The 19,089-nt window shown below is 40.1% G+C and overlaps 1 protein-coding gene across 2 annotated transcripts in view; it reads left to right on the forward strand.

Annotated features, from left to right (window-relative positions):
* Positions 1–19,089, forward strand: part of ZNF407 (zinc finger protein 407) — a 467,802-nt gene that overhangs the window by 344,136 nt on the left and 104,577 nt on the right. The gene's annotated exons all lie outside the window — the stretch shown is intronic.

The following is a 19,089-nucleotide window of genomic DNA, read 5'->3' on the forward strand; positions in this document are numbered from 1 at the left end:
TCCATGTGTTGGGTTGAAGATCGCTGTGGTGTGGATCTGATGGCTGGATTAACTGCCATGCCCTCATTAAATTAGATCATGTGTGAAAGTTCTTTGCAAACCATTTAGTGCCATGCATTTCTAAGGTATTATTAATATAAACTAGAGGAAAGGAGCTTGTGATTCTTATGTCCACCAGAAACTTTTTTGCACGAATCTCCCCTGCAGCAGGGAAAGTGGCTTTTGAAGCTGTGAAGTGCGCTGCAGTCTCACAGGTGCTCGTTATCAGAGAAAAGTGAAGATCATCAGCCTTGGCTATAGGAGGTCTTCTTTATCTTGGATGATCTGGCAAGATTTTATATTTCTTCTGTTTGTTTTCTATCTGAGCTAAAGATTGATGCCAAACATGGAGGAAAGGCTGGGAAAGTACCTACCCCAGCATAGCTTGGGATCAGAGAGCTAAACAGGAAACCCAGTCTTGATGCGAATCAAGCATGACTGGAGAACAGAAACCCAAGACTTTCCCTACTTTGACCGGTTTGTAAGAAATCTTTTTAATCTTTCTGACCTGAAGTTTAACATTTTAAAGATGTTAGTCATTTCAGAAACGTGCTTTTTATAAGGCAGTTGGTGCCTGGGCCTCCAGTATGTTTTTATAGGGACCTGCTGGTCCACGGGGCGGCTGGAGCCCTGAGTCTGTCTGCCTTGGTGCCCATCTGGGGCGCTTCCTCTCCATGCTTGTCTGGCAGTCATGCTTTCACCCACAAAGCCTCAGTGGGGACCAGATACTCAGTAACGTACTTGGCTGATATGCATGTGTTTCTCATCTCCAGCATCTTATGAGAATCCACTTCTTTTCGAGGAATGAAAAAGTGTTAGATCATATTGCAATATCCGTATTATTTTGTTTTATTTATTTATTTTTTATTTTATCTTTTTTTTTTTGTTTGAGATGGGAGTCTCACTCTGTCGCCCAGGCTGCAGTGCAGTGGGACAATATTGGCTCACTGCAACCTCTGCCTCCTGGGTTCAAGCATTCTCCTGCTTCAGCCTTCCAGGTAACTGGGGCTACAGGCACATGCCACCATGCCTAGCTGATTTTTTTGTACTTTTAGTAGAGACGGGGTCTCACCACATTAGCCAGGATGGTCTCGATCTCCTGACCTTGCTATCCACCTGCCTTGGCCTCCCAAAGTGCTGAGATTACAGGTGTGAGCCACCATGCCCAGCCAAAAAATCCATTTTTTAAATTTACAGCCCAGAGAGATATAACTAATACATTTTTATTTTCCTGAGAATTCTGATTCTTCTTAGGCTGATATTACGTTAATAGTGATTTTAGCACATTGCAGTTCTCTTTCTTACAGCTGTTACTTTATGTGTGAAGCATTTATTTTCCATCTGAAGGATGAGTTATTTGTCTGAATTGCTGCCCTATTGAAATTTCACAGTATTTTTGAAGGGAACTGGACCATGAAAACACAGTTTGTTTGTCACCCATAAGGCGTAGAAATGCATATACTGAAAAGAGAATGCAAATAGCGATAGACTTTGCTATTTAAATTACCAGACTTAAGATATTAAGAGTTTAGTTTTGAATTTACATTATTAGTTGATCAATACGTTAGACTGTTTGGTGAAATTTTGTCACAGCTGCAAAGCTAAAAACTAATGTTGGAAGAACGAAGTCATGGACTATTTCCCGTGAAGTAACTAGAATGAAGCCCTTAGTGTGTCGGTTGTCGTAGTTCCAAACCTACAGTCTGTTCTCTTGCTGTGTACAGTATGTACCTCATGGACCGCGAGCCCAATAATTGGGACCCTGAGGATAGCGTGGGATTAGTGTTGAAGAGTCACTATTACAGTGACTATATGGAAAGTTTCCCAGCATAAAGTGACACTCTCGTTCTACTGAACAGTTTTCCCCTTCGAATTTCTACAAATTATGCTAGATATTACCTGTATCTCATCCAAAAGAATGTGGATTGCTACCAGAAATAAACTAGGGTGTTAGGAAGTAATATTTCCCCCCTTCTTAGTTAGCATGTCACCTGAAGTTCAAAAGTGGATTATATATAATCCATCTAATTATACGAGGCGCCTGTAGAAATGTGTTTAGTGTTTAGTTCTTTTGATTAAAGTGCTGCTTGATATTTACATCCCACCAAAGGCACCTACTCAAAATGTAAGTAAGCTTACTAGCTTTTATGTTCTTACAGGAAATAAAATCTGTTACTAATTTTTTTAATTTAAAAAGTCTGTTAATTTACACCGATTTATAATTTGTCTTGGATTCCTTAGCTGAGAAGTATAGTTCATCACTGACTGTTCTATTACCTGACAGCAATTGATAAAGTATCCATGCACAAAGTGTCAGAAAAGGTTAATATTTATTGATTTTTATGGTGCTACAACCAGTGTAGTTTTGCCATCAAAGATGTATGGCCACCAGCAATGGAATCTGTAGAATTGCAGGATGCACACTAGATTTTATTCTAACCTATGCCAGTATTCTAGATTTTTTTAAATGACAGATGTTTAACTAAATACAAAAAGCCCTAAATGTGCAGTGACTCTGAACCTGTGACTTGAATTCAGTATTTTAATATGAAACATAAGAACAGCACTTAAAATCTAAAAATTCATCCTTGCTTTGCAGACAGCAATCACATTTAGCTTTTTCTTCCACTTAACTCTATGCTGTTGATCCGAATAGATGCCCAAGCAAGTGATAGCTGAGATTATGAACAATAAAGAGCTTGCATCTTTATAAACAAACTATATAATTAGCAGAGAAGGGGGGAAGCCTCTGTTTACTTTTAAAGGAGTTCCAAAGAAGCAGTTTGAGTGCCACGTCACTATTCAAGTATCTGCAAACAAAAAACCTCAGGGCCCAGAATCATGCATTCATTCTCTGGTTGCAGACTGGGGATAGAAGTGAGGAGTGTGCATTTTTTTGTTGTTGTTGATTTCCACCTGTATTTCCCTGACAGAAATGTACTCCTTGGTTTACCCATAACAGCCAGCGACGACTCGTATGCATTTGCTTGCCTGAATATACCCACAGTTTGTATTAGTTGCCTATTTCCAGTAGTTAACAGGTGAGATAAGACAGTTTATGAATTACTTTTTTAACCCGGGTAGAAGTGTATCAAAACCTGTTGCCTTATCTTTAAGACCCTGGACTTGTAAGTGTGAATCAAAACTAAAACTCTCCACCTGCATTTGAGATTTTTAAAAGCGGGAGTTGGACTTTATTTCTGCAAAAGATCTAATGAAAAGTCTTATGCTAAAAAAAAATCTATTTGGACCAGCAGACTGGATTGCCGTGTGTCCTATAAATATATTTTAGGTTGCTTTTTGTCGGTATCACATTTTTCTGTTGATGTTTCTTCCAGCAATCTGTGCTGGTTTTTGTTTTTCCCTCCCTTGCAGACAGCTCGCCCATTTTATTGTGCTTATTTAGAGAAAAGACAGAGTTTGGCTTCTCAAAAAGGAGCATACATTGCCTGGAAAATTACTCTCAGAGCTGATTTTGTTTTAATATGTCGCAGTTAGAATTCTAAAATAGAAAAAATAAAAATTCCTGAACCATGTTTTAAAAGCCCTTGACAGTATGAAATATTTTCTGTAAAGATTTCATTTTCTCCTGATTTTATTTTACTTACAATATTTTTAAAGTTTTCTTCAGAAATATCAGTGTCGAATGAACCTAATTCTTTATACACATCTGCTTTCTTTATCTTTAACAGGTTTGTCCTTATTTTTTTCTTTTCTTTCCTCTTACCCAGGCAAGGTGTCATACAATAACATAGTAATTAGAAGTCTTTCTTAAGGAACGTTTCAAATGCCCTCTAGCACTATTGTTTTTCATTTCAGTACAACCTGGTTTTTGCAGTGTCATAACCTCAAAGCTGTCTCCCCGACATCTTCACTGATCACCCTTAAAACTGTGGGTGAAAACTAAGTGACAGGCCTCCGTAACGCTGCATTTCAATACTGCTGCCACAGCCATTCATTGCTGCCCATAGCACCGTCACCCCCAAAGTAGTCATTACCTCAGTTATGACTGATGTCTCAAGGTGGTTTGATGAGATTATGAATTAATTTATCATATGTGTAAGCTGTACTATCTAGAGGTACATAACAGAAAAGCAATGAATTACATATGCAAGAAAAACCTTTTATATAACAAACCAAAGTGGAAAAAGAACCATTTTAAACCATTTACTCCAATTTAGAGAATCATTTTCAGGTTTGTGACTAACAGTATGATTGAATATGGAATTTTCAAATTCCACAAAGCGAGATTTCCTGTGAGAATCAGGGAGGTTGTGTGATTCTAATAACCATGGCATTTGTTCTCTGCCCCATCCCCAGGAAAAGCTAACCACATTTTTCGCAGCACTCTCTTTGTGCTTTGAGATACTCTGTTTGTGCATGTTTGATTTTGATTTTTAGTAATCAAATTAACCCTTTTAAAATGTACTTTATTTTGTAAATTGTTAAAAAAATGAATCACAGGGGAGAAAATATTTTGACCACACTTTACAGTGATTCATTTGTCTGTTTACTTTGTGCATGTTTTAGTTCAAAATCAACAATTATAGTTGAAAACATTAATATATATTTTAGAACAATTTATATTTGTCTTTCTTTTTTCTTTCTTAGATTGAAACTGAAAACTGACCATGATTTGAATGATTTGATTTGCATTAAAAATTAAATATAAGAAAAAACTAAGCATAAATGTGGCAGATAAAACAGATTTTTTAAAGTAAATATAATGACAACATATCTTGGGAAATAATGATTAAAATAACATGACAGTCATAAGCTTTATCTTTGAACAGCTGATCATGCTGCTTTGAGGATGTGACTGTTTCAGTACATTTTACTGAATTCCTTTTAGAGGAGTTTAATCATATGAACTGATAGACTTTCTGGTTAATACTATTAGAGTTCTCAAATAAGATTTCTTTTTAATGGAAAAAAGCATTTTTCTTTTGGTCATTGAAGTGAGGGTTTCTAGTCTGTGTGGTTTATCTTGTCAATTTGACTAGTAGAAGAAACAGGTCATTGTGGAGAAACCTAACAGATGACCGCCTCCTGTTCCACACCAGACTATGCTGAAACCGTTCAGTTCACCAAGAAATTACCCTATTTTTTCTCCTTTTTATTTGCATAATCTTAGAAAAAGGACAAAAGCAATTTTGTGGGGTTTTCTAACAAGGCTCTTTTATGTAGTTTGCTTCCTCCCCTCCGCCCAGTGAATAGTATTACCTGATTTTAGCTGAAATGATTCCTGGTTTCATTTGACCTGGGAGAAATAAAAATATTATGAAGTAAGAGGGCCCAAGTTCATGATGTTTTCCATGCCACCTTCAGCTGAGCTGCTTCTTACTTGCACCTAAATTGGGAATTTCAAAGTATCATTTTTGGTAGTGCTGAATTTGGCAGGGTACATAAAGAACTTCAGTGGAGTGGGATGTGAAACGGCATCATTTAAATTAAAAAATAAATTTTAGGACGTGAAAGTAACGGAAGCTCAAGTCAGGCTGCAGCAGCAAAATGCAGGTTCTAGTGCACACTGAGCGCCTGCCAGAGAACAAAACATCGGCTGCTCTCTCCCCTCGGAGGGAGGAGGCATCACACTAGCGTCCCAGGTACCAGTGCTGTCATCCTGGCAACGGTGCCAAGATCAGAGTCAGCCTCACTCAACTGATAAAAGCCCTGTACAGACAAACAGGTAGGCAGGACCTGTGCGTGTAGCCCACCATTTTCCTTCAATGAAAGTGAAGCGCTAAGCCTCTGTCTTTCAAAGAACAGTGGGCTTTCTCCCTGCGCCTTTTGTTTCTACTTACTTCCTCTCATTTCTTTTCTCCATTTCTTATGACCTCTCAGCTCCCTCTCCTTTTTATTGTCTTTTACACAAGAACACAGAAAAGTGCTGTAAATTCACACCTTCAAAACCAAGGGTCAAAGAGAAAATGACTTCAGAGGTAAAATAATTAAGCATCAAACACAACAGCAGAACCCAGGATACTTGTCTCCGGGCCTTCATTGGGCAGGAGCCTGTGGAAAGTAGGAGCTGCTGATCACCATTTGAAAGAAGGTATCTTTGTCTCTTATAGAGGCTACTATTCTGTTCTGCTTGCTGCGTCTGTTAGCTTATATTGCTTTAACTACTCAGAAGAGCAAATTCTTTTCATCATCCTTTGTACAGCGATTGTCTTTAATGGGAGCTTTTGCTCAGTAGCGGCTTTTTTCACTTTATGTGCCATGGGAGTATCATATCTTACTGTTATTTATTGTAACCTGCTGCTCGTTAATACAAGTTGTCCACTGACATTCACCTGAGCTTAGTCTTCATTACTGAGACTGCTCCGTCTATTTGTAAAACAACATGTTCCAGATTGCTAGTTTTTAGCTGACTTTTTTCCCTCATTTCTTACACAAAGCTCTGTGTAAAAGACAATAAGTATCCATAGACATCAGCTTTGCAGTTTCGATTCTATGGAAATCATGAGTCTAGTTCTGAATTCTAATGCAGTAAATGTTGAATCCCCGACACTACCAAGTTAATTTATCATTTTTACATGTGATTCTGAAATATTTTTATCTGTATTGAAAATTATATTTCTTAAAAAAATAATTCTCTCTCATCACATCCATATGACATCAATCCTAAGGAAAGATCAAGTTTACCTTTTAGGAGAAAGAGGACAGATATTTAAGAAAATATGCTGGGAGTTTAAAATAAGCTTGTGTAAGAATGCTATGTAAAAATACAGATAACTAATTAGAAATTAGAGAAAACAACAGTTAGAATGTCTGGCCTTAAAATAAGATTTCAAATTAGAGTTAATGTATTCCAAAAATAAAAGTCAGAAATAAAGAAGAAATACTAGAACTTTTAAGGTGTTTTATATAAAGGTTTCATTTCAGTATGCAAATTAGACAGCACACTAGTGTGTAAAAAGAAAGGACAATCTAAAGCTTGGGAAGCAAACTGTGGAAAAATCAAGGAAGTCTACAGCCAGCCATGGTGTCCACTTACAAAAACAAACAGAGAAGAACGCGAAGAAAACTAGAAATGGAATTGTGTGGCTAATAGGGCAAGAAAATTTGAGATAGTACAGAAGAAACTATTTATGATATTTTCAGTAGGTACATTTCTTTCTGACAAACACACATTTGAAATAAATATTTATAATGAATGGTTGGAAATTTGTAAAAAGTAGAGGCATATTAGCAAATGAAAAGCCCTTCGAACTATGAGCTAGTGGGTCTGGAACCCAGGCATTTTGCTCATGGTCAGGATTCAGGGGAATCACTTAACCTCACTGTACTTAAGTTTCCTTGAATACGAAATGAAAGAAACAACTTTATATTAATAGATGAGCTTGCTGGCTCTTCCTGCTGTCATACACGATAATTCTGTAAAATTACAAATAATGCTAGATCACAACCCTAATCTCCTGGTAATCTCTTTCATGGTTTTCATTTGTTCACGTCTTTGAGATTATGAGGAAAGCAAAATCCCTGTTACTGAAATATCAATACTTTCCTCAAAATCCCTGTTAGTAAAATATCAGTACTTTTCTGAAAGGTGGCCCACACTTTTGAGGGAATTAGAGGGAGGGTTTCTGAATTCCCAGGTTAAGAAGACCTGATATAGACAAGTAAAGAACAAAGCCTGAATCCTTAAAGGTTATTTTTTACAGGAGATTGGGGGTGCTTCTGTGGATAAGCAGTGGTATTCCCTGCTGCTGAATAGATGGCATGACTCTGCCGAGGTGCCACAGTCTCCAGACCTCTCTGAAATAGGAAGGTCAACACAAGGGCAGGCACTCTCAGACCACAGCTGAAACCCACAGCCTGTTTGATATGACCTAGTCCCTCTTGGATTCAATTCAGAGAATTAAAATGTTCAAGAAAAAACAATACTGATAGATTCTTTTTAACCCCCCACTGGCTATGGTTAAGCTGATGGCTCCAGATGACCATCCTGGCTAATATTGCCTTCCCAGCAGCAGTAGAAGAGTGTTTGAGGCCAAATGGGAAATGGGTGGTGGAAGCACTGAATGGCCATAAGACATCCACTGAATGCCAGCTGCATACAGCAGGCAGGAGGACAGTGCTCCAGAGTCCTCTTCAGAAGCCAGTGGTGCCCAAGAAGGGCTGACTGACAATGATCTTGGAAATGTCCAGCTCACGTCTTCCAAAGCTGCCTGCTGCCGATCCAAACGCTTCAATATGTGGCTGCAAGAAAATGATTTAACTGCAACTTCCTTGATTCCTACCTACCACACTTAATGCTTACATATTTTAAAATAGTAAGCAATTAGGTAATTCACAAGATGGAAAAATCAATGCAGTCTTAGTAGGTCCTCAATGAATTGTGGCTCTTGTTTTCATTATTTCTGCTGCTCACATGGAGGTCAATGCCCTCTTGAACAGTAGCATAGACCTTATTTAGAAGTCTCATTTATCAAGGTATGAAAACTTACAAGCAGGGCTGAGGTAGAAAGAAAGTGTTGTTTTGATGCTGATTTCCTCTTATCCAAGGAAGGAGAAAGTTTGGGTCACTGATACAATTGTTCTACCGTTACAGATACCTAAAAATCTTGTTTGCTTTAATCTTCAACAAAATCATTACGATAACATTGCCACTTCTGTAAATGAAAGCTTCTGTAGGGCATTTCCTGCCTGTCTGTTTTGCTGCGCGTTAAGAAGCTTTGGAATTAAGTTCTCTCTAAACCCAGGGAGGTCTCCCATTTTCTTGCTAATGGGAATACTCCCAACACACATGCTTCATGCTCTCTCACCTGACTCTCCAGGGTTTTCATACTTTTAACAGGATATGGTTTTTAATGAGGCTTCTAGAAGCTTTAGAAACTTCTTTAATGATTTTGTTTTGACCTTTTGCTACTGCCTTTACTGGGACCGAATTGATTGTCTCAACTGAAAATTTGCTGCCAAAATTTGGATTTTAATATTTTCAGATGCAACTTTTTTTTTCCTTTTGTTGATTCTGGAATGGGCACATATTAAATATTACAATGAAGAATAATAGTCTTAGTTCCCTTCATGTGGTAGCAGGGCAGCACACAAGAGTCTAAATAACTTCTCTATTATGACCACTACTACTGTGATACCCCCAGTGCCTCCAAATGTTCAAATGTACTGAACTTTTCTTTTTTCTCTATGATACAGACATTTTAAATAGACGTAAGCAGAACATGTTCACTGCACCAATTACTTGTAAACAGTGGAAATCCCCACAAGGCAATGAGAAGGGAAGGCAGGAGTAACAAAGGCTTGCCCTTGGTGTGGGGCCAAGCCCTTCACTTTCTCTCCTCCCTGTTCTTGGTTTCTTGACTCATTAAGTCAACATTGTCCCTCTGTTGATTTGCCTAAACTGTTTTGCACAGAGATCTTGTAGAAAATTGGCAAACTGCAGAACACTGAGCGTGAGTTCTCAGTACGTTCATGTTGACCCTTCTGCCTCTCACTGCCTCGTCTTCTCATTGATTGCATGCCTTTGACACACTGCTTTGCTGCTGCTTCCTTGATCATCATCATAGCATCCCTAGATTGCTTAACTACCAGAAAATAACCTTAAACATGGCATTTTTATTTCAAAATTATTTTATTTCCTCTGTTGTTGAGCTTCATATTTGCAGATTTATTCCCTCTTTGTATGTAGGTTTTAATCTAAATCATTAACTTTGATTCATTTTCATAGTCTGTGTGTTTTTTATGGGTATTAATTTTTAGAAATAACTTACTTTCTAAATGAAAAGTAAAATAAGATAATTTCTAAGATTATGATTTTTGGAATATTTAACAGATACACCAAAGTTAATTGGAGAATAAAACCATCATACAGAACAGGATCTGACAAAAAAAAAAACAGTAATTCTAGGAAACTTCTGATCGTACTTCATAGAGCAGATGAAAACATACTAAGTTAGAAATTAGAAAATACATACAAAGTAGTGATCCCTGGCACAGCTCTATGAAGTATTGCTAGAATAACTGCAAAGGTGTTGCAAGCAGTTTTCTCAGCTTCTGTCATTCAAAAGTAAGACCCCTGCCCCTTATTACTAATGAGGCATCAACAGTTATTGATCAGGAGCTTGGGAGGCAAGGAGAAGAAAATACTTGATTATTGCAAAGCAGTGACTAACTCATTAAAAATAAAAGGACTAGATAACTTAGCAGTGAATTTCCTCAAATTTATGATACTCTCTATGAACCTTTGGTAGCTAATGAGTATCTTGCAATTGGCCTGTGCTGGGCACTGTGCTCTATGCCATCCCTGATATTATCCCTTTAATCCCAACCACAGCCCCTGGTGCTGCGCTGTCATGCTCATGGAGAAGCACTTGGGCACAGGGAGTTTAGGAACTGGCCCAAGTTACCCACCTGTTTACTGCCAAATACTTGTCGAGCGCTTTCTGGGTAGCAGCCACTGTTCTAGATCCTGGAGACAGAGGCTAACCCTCAGGGAAAGATAGATGATAAGTAAATAAACTAACTACTGTGCATGGTAATGCCATGTTGGGAAAAGAGGCAGAAAGAGGAAGACAACCAGAGAGAATGGGAGCAGGAAGGGGCTGGACGATTGTGCATACAAGGTTAGGGAAAATCTCTCTTAAGAATAAGACTTTTAAAAAACAGTTTTATTGAGGCATAATTAACATAAAATAAATTGCACATATTTAAAGTGTACAGTGTGATGTGTTTTGACAGAAGTATAAACCCTTGAAACCATGGCCATAATTAAAATAATGAACACATCCCATTTCTCCCAGAAGTTGTGAGGAAATGGCAGATATCTGAATGAAGGGAAGGCCAGGGCCGTGAAAATGTGTTGGGAAGAGCACTGCCTGGAATGGTTGACGGAACACGAGGCCAACATGGACTTGGCAGAGCCGTTGGTGATGGAGCAGTGGGAGTGGAATGGAATATGGTCATTTGGGCTTGGAGTGAAGAGAGAAGTAAGGTAGACCACACAGGGCATGTAGAGATGTTTCTTCTGACTCTGACGGAAAGCCATAGAATGACGGTGAGCAAGAGAGGAGCCTACGTTGATTTGTTTTTTGCAAAAAGTCACTCTGGCTTCTAGGTGGAGAAAGGACTGCGTGGAAATGAGACGTCTTGGCAAGAGAGAGTGATCACTTGAATGAGGGTAGTGGAGGTGATGAAAATGGTTGGATTCAGGATGTCCTTGTCAAGGGGACATTGCTTGAGAGCTGGGGTCCGTCCAGGCTATCTGACTCCTCAGCCTGTGCTCTCGTCAGCTTGGCATGCCGCCTTCTGTGGTGGATAAAGACCATCAGTGCTGCAGGAGCAGCAACCAACGCCTTAATGTGTAGATTTTGTTATCTGTTTTTTTCTACTTTAATTTGGTGGCTTTGTACATCTGCCGTGTATGTCTGCTTACGTTGTATCATGGCCATCTTTTCTCTGCAGGCATCCTTAGTCGCCTTAACTTGGATTTTTTTAAACTTCCAGATTGCTAATTTCCCTTGTATTACATTTCATTCCTGATAGACATGCAGCTTCCTTGAGGAGGAGCTCCCTGCCTCTGTGTCCTGCCCCACACTCCGTAACGCTAGGCTTCGTTTAGAGAGGAGCTTTTCAACTCTTGTTAGATGTCCTAAATTGTACTTAATTGAAAATATGTAAATATAGTTGCATATAGAAATATAGAGGATTTGTTTCACTTCTCCTGACAATATGACCACAGCGTATACCACTACCTTTTACCAGCTGGCTGCAGACAGCCCCTTACTCCGATGTCATTGTGTAGACGGGAAATTTGTTTTTGATAGGCTTCACCACACCAGCAGGAATCTGGTCCATTAGGGAACTGTGGCTGGGCTGCTTTATTCTGGGAGAAAAGTTGAGACCCTAATGGGAGGCGAGAAAAAACAAAAGATAGGCTCAAAGTAAGGAGAAAAAGGGATAGTGTATGTTTTGTGTGTGTGCATGTGCGTGCACGTGGACACACACTTTTACATACCCACATAAATGTATTTTACACATATTTTAGTCATTGTGGTACCTCAATTGACTTAATTTCTATTGACTTTTCCAATATTAATATGTTCAATATTTTATAACAAAATTTAATGCTTTCTAAAGGGAAAGAGGCCAGTTTCAATATTAATGCCAATTAGAAAAGCATTTTTTGATCATTTGGCTCACTTAAGATAATCTCAAAAACCAACTTACCCAGAAACAGTTACTTGGGAGAAACAGACAAAATGTTACTTCTGAGTAATTATTTTCAAAATAGATACTTGTGTTACTGTGATCTCTTTGTATACTATTGTTAATATATATCTTTAATCTATATCATAAATGACTATGATTAAATAGCTATATGATTATGTCAATACAGATATTATATTAAGCTTCTCTCCTTCCACTTAGGATATAAAATAAAAAATGTTGGGCAAAGGAGAAAATAATATGAAAGTTTTCATTGTTGTTTATTAGGAAATCAGTCCTTTAAGAAAGACTGGCATTATAATCATGCAATAATTATTAATGTTTTAGTTAATGAAACTAGTCATAATTTTTTTTCAAGTATTATATAACATAATTTTATCATTTGTTACTAAGCAGTGAAGTTATATTGGATTAGATGTCACTGCTTTTATATAACCCACATATTTTTATATTTACATTTTAGATTATGAGTGTATGAAACCGCAACACACAGGGGAAGGGGTATTCCTAAACTATTGTCCAATCCAATGTCTAACCTTAGCCCATTCCAGCCACCAGTGAACTTCATCAACACCATCATTGCCATCCTTTCGAGTGACCATTCTAGTCCAGTACTTGACGAAGGAAATAAATGACATTATCAGTAGGGAAAATAAGGACAGGTGTCACTGGATATATCCACTCTAAATGGAGCCCCAAGCATTGTAATTCAGTTTAATCCTAAAGGTGTTGTTATATGTTACAAGCCAGTCGTGCAGTCTACAGATGCTATTGATATAGTGATGCTGGAGGAGTGATAGTCCAGAGATAAGGACCTAAGTGTGGATCTCATGAAGTCAGTGTTTGAGGGGAGAGGAAGGAGTGAGTGAATCCAGTTAGGAGTTTGGAACCCTGAGGGTAGTGCTGAGGGGCCGTTTAGGGTCGTTTAGGGATGGGCTGAGCTGCAGAAGTTGTGGGGACCGCAAGTCCAGAGGAACTGGAGAGAAACTGAAGGAGAGTGTTTACACAGGCACATCTCGGGGAGCCACTGGGTCAGGAATCTGATGTATTTGGAGAGAGTAGTTTAATTCTGGGGCATGGGGTAAATTTGGTGCCAGTAGAGAAGGGACCTGGGAATTGAGAGAGTTCAACCTAGATTTGGTAGAGGACATAGCTGAAATCAAAGGAAAAGTTGCAAACCCCAGAATCAGCATTTAAGGATGAGCCAGTAGCCAACAGGGAGATGAATCAGGAAAATAGCTGATATATGGAGCTGGCGCTGGGCTAGCCTTGGTTGTAGGTTAATCAGTTTTCTAACTTTGGCACAATCAGTATGTCTTTACTCCAAAGCAAGTATTATTCTTCATAAGAGCTACATTGTGATGTACTGGGTAAGGAGAAATAAAAGGTTAAGTCCTGTTGGCAAAAATTTCAATGAAATAATGTTCCAAATACCCCAAGTAACCCTGTTTTCCAAGGTGGTGATAACTAAGTGGGTACCCGAGTCACATCAAGTCTCAGGACCTGACCAGCAGCAGATTTCTGGATCTGCACATTCTCGACACATCTTCCGATGTTTGTGAGGTCAGGGAAAGGACTTCATCAGGCTCGGCCAGCCATCCTCTCTCCCTGCACACACGGTGCACGTGTTCCTGTCTGTCTGTGCTGGCAGAGTCCACAGGAGACCATCAGTGGCAAGACCATACTTTTTTGTACATTACATGATTCCTACTTCAGAAAGCTCTAACTTAAGGAAGTTCATCTATAGGTTGAGCCAAAATATTCTTCCTTGTAACTTGCCTTGTTTCTGGTTCTTTTTTCTGAAGTTCCTCATTAGAAGTCAAATTCCTATTTTAAAGTATCCACCCCTTTTACTTCATCTTGAAAAGTTGCTTCTTTCCTAAACTTCAGGTCAAAAATGAATCCCCAGCCTCCAGCTTAATCCAGTTATAGACGTTCATTGTTTATCAAATTGAATAACTTTTTAGTATCCTCCTGTCTGTGTCACATCCCCACTTCCTCATCACATCCAGCTCTCCGTCCTGCTTGCATTCCTCCTGACATCCACCAGCCTGTCCTTGCTGGCCTCGGTGTGGCCCACGTGTGCCCACAACAGAGACCCTGCTCTTGACGTCCTCTATTCCAAGGGGATAATAAGGTTTTTGGCAGCCATTCTGTTTTATTGGTTTATATAAAACTTCATAAGCTAAAATCTCTTCATCCTTCTTCCCCAAACTGTACTCATTTTGTTTTTAAACCAAAATATAAGACTACAGTTGTCTTTCTCCAATGTCATGAGCTCCTTTGTCATTTTTCCATTCTAGTGTACACACACTGTGTCCTGACATAATATGTGCAGCAAGCATTACATTGCTGCTGATGTTGAGATGAAGGTTTGTATCAGTGGGTGTCGTGATGTGATGAAGGGACAGTGGTGAATTTAGTCAGGGTTGGTTTCATGGAGGAGAGGCGTGTTGAGCCGTGACTGGAAGGAAGGAAGGAATATGCCTGGGAGAAGGATGGGCTGCTGGGGTGGATGTAGTGTCTTGTCCAGGGCTTTCATGGCTGGACGGTGTGATCTCATCTGCATTCTCAGCATTGGTCTTCAGGTTGCAGTTCTTGAAACATGACTTCATCAATAGCTAGGGAGAATCTGACAAAGTCGTAATCACTAAATTTTGTGAGATAATTACATAGATCATAGTGTTTTTCCTTTAAATTGAGAAATATTGTCAAGCAGACTGGGATACTCATGTCAGCAGTCAACATATTTTCTTGTAGAAAAGCTACTTGTGAAGCCAAGTTATAATCAGAATGTTGCTTTCTGAGTTTAAAACCAGAAGAGAGTAAGTGAGTTGAACTTAAGAGAAAGTCCTGACTCTGATAGCCTGGGCCATAACCTGCAGCTTTAGGCCCCACCCAGTGGCCTAGGACTGTGGACGTGGGACTCCAGGATGCCTCCTACCCTGAGTGCAGCTGAAGGTTGCCTTTTCTCATGCCCCGTGAGGTTGTCGTTCTTCGCTTTCCCTATCCTACAATTGTCAGTTCTACCATGGGGGCAACCGGCACAGTCAGCCCACGCCCCTCAGCCAACCGTGAGTCAGTCCCGTCGCCCTTTCCATAGGCAGATGCTTCACTCGCGGCCAGCTTATTTGGGAGGTGTTGCATTTTTTAATTACGTTAACTTACGGGGTTTTTTGGAATAATTCACTCTCTCCTCTCTGTTGTCTTCCTAGTGGAGCATTCTAGATGAGGGATTGAATTTTGAAATTGTTCTAAGGAATAAACAGGAGAGGGTTACAATCTGTTATTCTTAATAGAGATTAGGAACTTGAAAATGTCAGTTTGTGTAAACATAAAGATATTTATGTAGTAAGTATCTAATTAGTGAATTCCCTGGATGTCAGCATTGACAGTTGCTATTTTATTCACTGAATAATTTCAAGGTGAGTTCTATTATGAGAGGAAGGAAGGTAGACAGTGCCGTAATGGGAAGCTCTTTACAGACTGGGCGGGGATTTTAAAACTCTCTGAGCCTGTTTTATTTCCATAGAATGTGTTATGGTACAGATCTTCAAGATGTAATGAGGTCATGTTTGTAAAGCTCCACCTCTGGCATATGCTGTGTACTCAACAAGCGGCAGCCCTCCAGGGTAAGAGTACTTCTAGGGGAAAGTGATGATTTGTGGTTTTTGATGAAGAGTTTAGAATGCCTTTCCCACCTCTGCTTCCTTGTTACCTGGCAGAGGGACACATGTTTTAAGATGAGCTGAAGCCATTGCCTGTTTTTTGAAGCCTTCTAGGAACTGCTCAGGTATTTGTGAGCTCTCCCTTGTTTGGAGAACCATAACCCACGTCTCACTTACACTGTGAAGTGGTCTAAAAATGTTCGTCTTCACCTACGAGACTCTGGACGTCTTTGAGTATTCATTCCTTCATTCTTTCATTATGTATTAAGGTCCTTATTATAGATGAGGCTGATGTAAGTGCCTGCGATAAAACAGTGGAAAAGATCAGCAAAAGAGAACACTGTCGTCGTTGTCATCATTTACTGAGTGTGGGTTAGGGATGTCAGAAAACACAAATAAATGAATTAGAAGGTTGTTTAAGATAAAGGTTAAGTAAGTGTTCTAAAGGTGAGAAAGCAGGATTTGGGTCTCAGGGTTGCAGGGAGATTATTTTGAGTTGCCTCCTCACAGTGGGCCTGTCGAGGAGGGAGCACCTGAGCTGCATTGGCCATGAGGAGGAGCCCCGTCATATACACACCTGAGCTGCATTGGGTTTGATGAGGAGCCCGCCGTGCACACACCTGAGCTGCATTGGCCATGACGAGGAGCTGGTCATATACACACCTGAGCTGCATTGGGTTTGACGAGGAGTCCGCCATGCATACACCTGAGACACAAGCTATGCAGGCAGAGGGTGAGTAAGCCGGGGCTCTCAGACATGAGCAAGCTTTGCCTGTCTAAGCCCTCACTGATGGTGTCATATAAACATTGGCATAAAGGGACTGAGTGAATAGAATCATAGCTAGCAAAAAGTGTTCTGCACTAATTTTGGCATGTGACAGTAGGGTCTGAAATCAAAGATTTTAGCAGAGGTCTTGGTTCCTCATCATTTTCAGTGAGGAAGTCACTGGGCATGTGACTTCTAAGAGGAAGGGGACACCCATGCGCACACAAAAACTCTTTCAATAATTGCAGGGTTGACAGGTGGATAGGATTTGAATGGAGAGGCGGAAGTTACTGGACACTTGGATGATGCCTTTAATAACTTTTCTTCTTCCACAATGCCAAGTTTATTTTGTTCTTCATTACATTTTACTTACTGAACATTTTCTGAGACCAGGACTTGAGAATGTTTGTATATAACCTACTTTTCATAAAGTCTAGTCTTTCATCTTTTCTGTGTAACCTCAAAGAGAGTCTTAAGACACAGTGTTTAATACTATAGGATAATATTTGTGTTTCTTACCTTGTCCTCCAGATAGATTTTCCATTTCAAAAGAACTGTTCAAGATCGCAATACTTCACAAATGTAGGTGCTAAATTTTGAATTTAAATTAGACCATCATCATCAGTATTGTCATGACAATCGTTGTTTAAGAGGCAGCAGGATAAAAACTTCCTTTCTACTGGGAAGTAGTGGTTTGAATTTGGACTCTGGCTCCTAAGTCTCCTTTTAGTCCTCCTGATTCTAACATCCACCCTTCTGCTTCTGGGACAATTTCCCCTTTTTAACTTGCATGCAACCATCATGCCATTGAACTTGTATGTGTCTGTCTTTCTGAGTTTATTCTTTGTAGCATCCTTTTGTTCTGTTGAGGTTGTGTTTCTATGTATCTTGAATTTTTTTCTATGCCCACTTAGAGAAAACTTGCCAATTTTGACATCTCTAAACGGAATACACTTGGGAACTTGGGAATGCCTTTGTTATCCTTCCAGGCAAGATCTTCCCAGCACACTTCTACTTTAATTAGCTTGATTTCAGCACAGTTTGTAATTCCTGGATTTAAGCACAAATCTGATAAATTATGTCATTTGATACATGAAGTGAAACGTATAAAGGTTGAAATTTTTAGGATTTGAGCCTTCTCCAAAAGTGAGAAATGATTAAAATCACAGACATGGTGACATTGAAGATGGCATAATGACCCTAAATAGTCATCCTATGTTGTTGAAATGAGTAGACATTTCTATGGGAGTTGCATCCAACAGTGTGGCTTCTTTATGCAAACTTCAGGGCCTATGCTTAGTGTGCATTTGTATAACTCATTTAACCAGTTACTAATATCACAAGTGCTTTCACCCCATTTTCTAGTGGCTTTATATTCTCTGATTTTGTATAATTGAAGATCAGTGGTTTTCTCTGAAGTTTGAAATCCTAACGCAAGTACCGTGTTCATTTAGGTAAAAGTGCCTCTTTTTGGCACTTTTAGGATTATTGTGAAGTGAAATGAGATGACAAATGTAGAGGACTGGGTGGAGGGATAGGAGAAGGTCCTGAGTGTGGACTGGGTGGAGGGATAGGAGAAGGTCCTGAGTGAGTGCTTGGTGGAGGGATAGGAGAAGGTCCTGAGTGAGTGCTTGGTGGAGGGATAGGAGAAGGTCCTGAGTGAGTGCTTGGTGGAGGGATAGGAGAAGGTCCTGAGTGAGTGCTTGGTGGAGGGATAGGAGAAGGTCCTGAGTGAGGACTGGGTGGAGGGATAGGAGAAGGTCCCGACTGAGTGCTTGGTGGAGGGATAGGAGAAGGTCCTGAGTCAGTGCTTGGTGGAGGCATAGGAGAAGGTCCTGAGTCAGTGCTTGGTGGAGGGATAGGAGAAGGTCCTGAGTCAGTGCTTGGTGGAGGGATAGGAGAAGGTCCTGAGTGTGGACTGGGTGGAGGGATAGGAGAAGGTCTTGAGTCAGTGCTGGGTGGAGGGATAGGAGAAGGTCCTGAGTCAGTGCTGGGTGGAGGGATAGGAGAAGGTCCTGAGTCAGTGCTGGGTGGAGGGATAGGAGAAGGTCCTGAGTGTGGACTGGGTGGAGGGATAGGAGAAGGTCCTGAGTGAGGACTGCATGGAGGGATAGGAGAAGGTCCTGAGTGAGTGCTTGGTGGAGGGATAGGAGAAGGTCCTGAGTCAGTGCTGGGTGGAGGGATAGGAGAAAGTCCTGAGTCAGTGCTGGGTGGAGGGATAGGAGAAGGTCCTGAGTGTGGACTGGGTGAAGGGATAGGAGAAGGTCCTGAGTGAGGACTGGGTGGAGGGATAGGAGAAAGTCCTGAGTGAGGACTGGGTGGAGGGATAGGAGAAGGTCCTGAGTGAGGACTGGGTGGAGGGATAGGAGAAGGTCCTGAGTGAGGACTGGGTGGAGGGATAGGAGAAGGTCCTGAGCGAGGACTGGG

This window comes from Homo sapiens, chromosome 18 (genome assembly GCF_000001405.40).
Source record: "Homo sapiens chromosome 18, GRCh38.p14 Primary Assembly".
Taxonomy (NCBI): domain Eukaryota; kingdom Metazoa; phylum Chordata; class Mammalia; order Primates; family Hominidae; genus Homo; species Homo sapiens.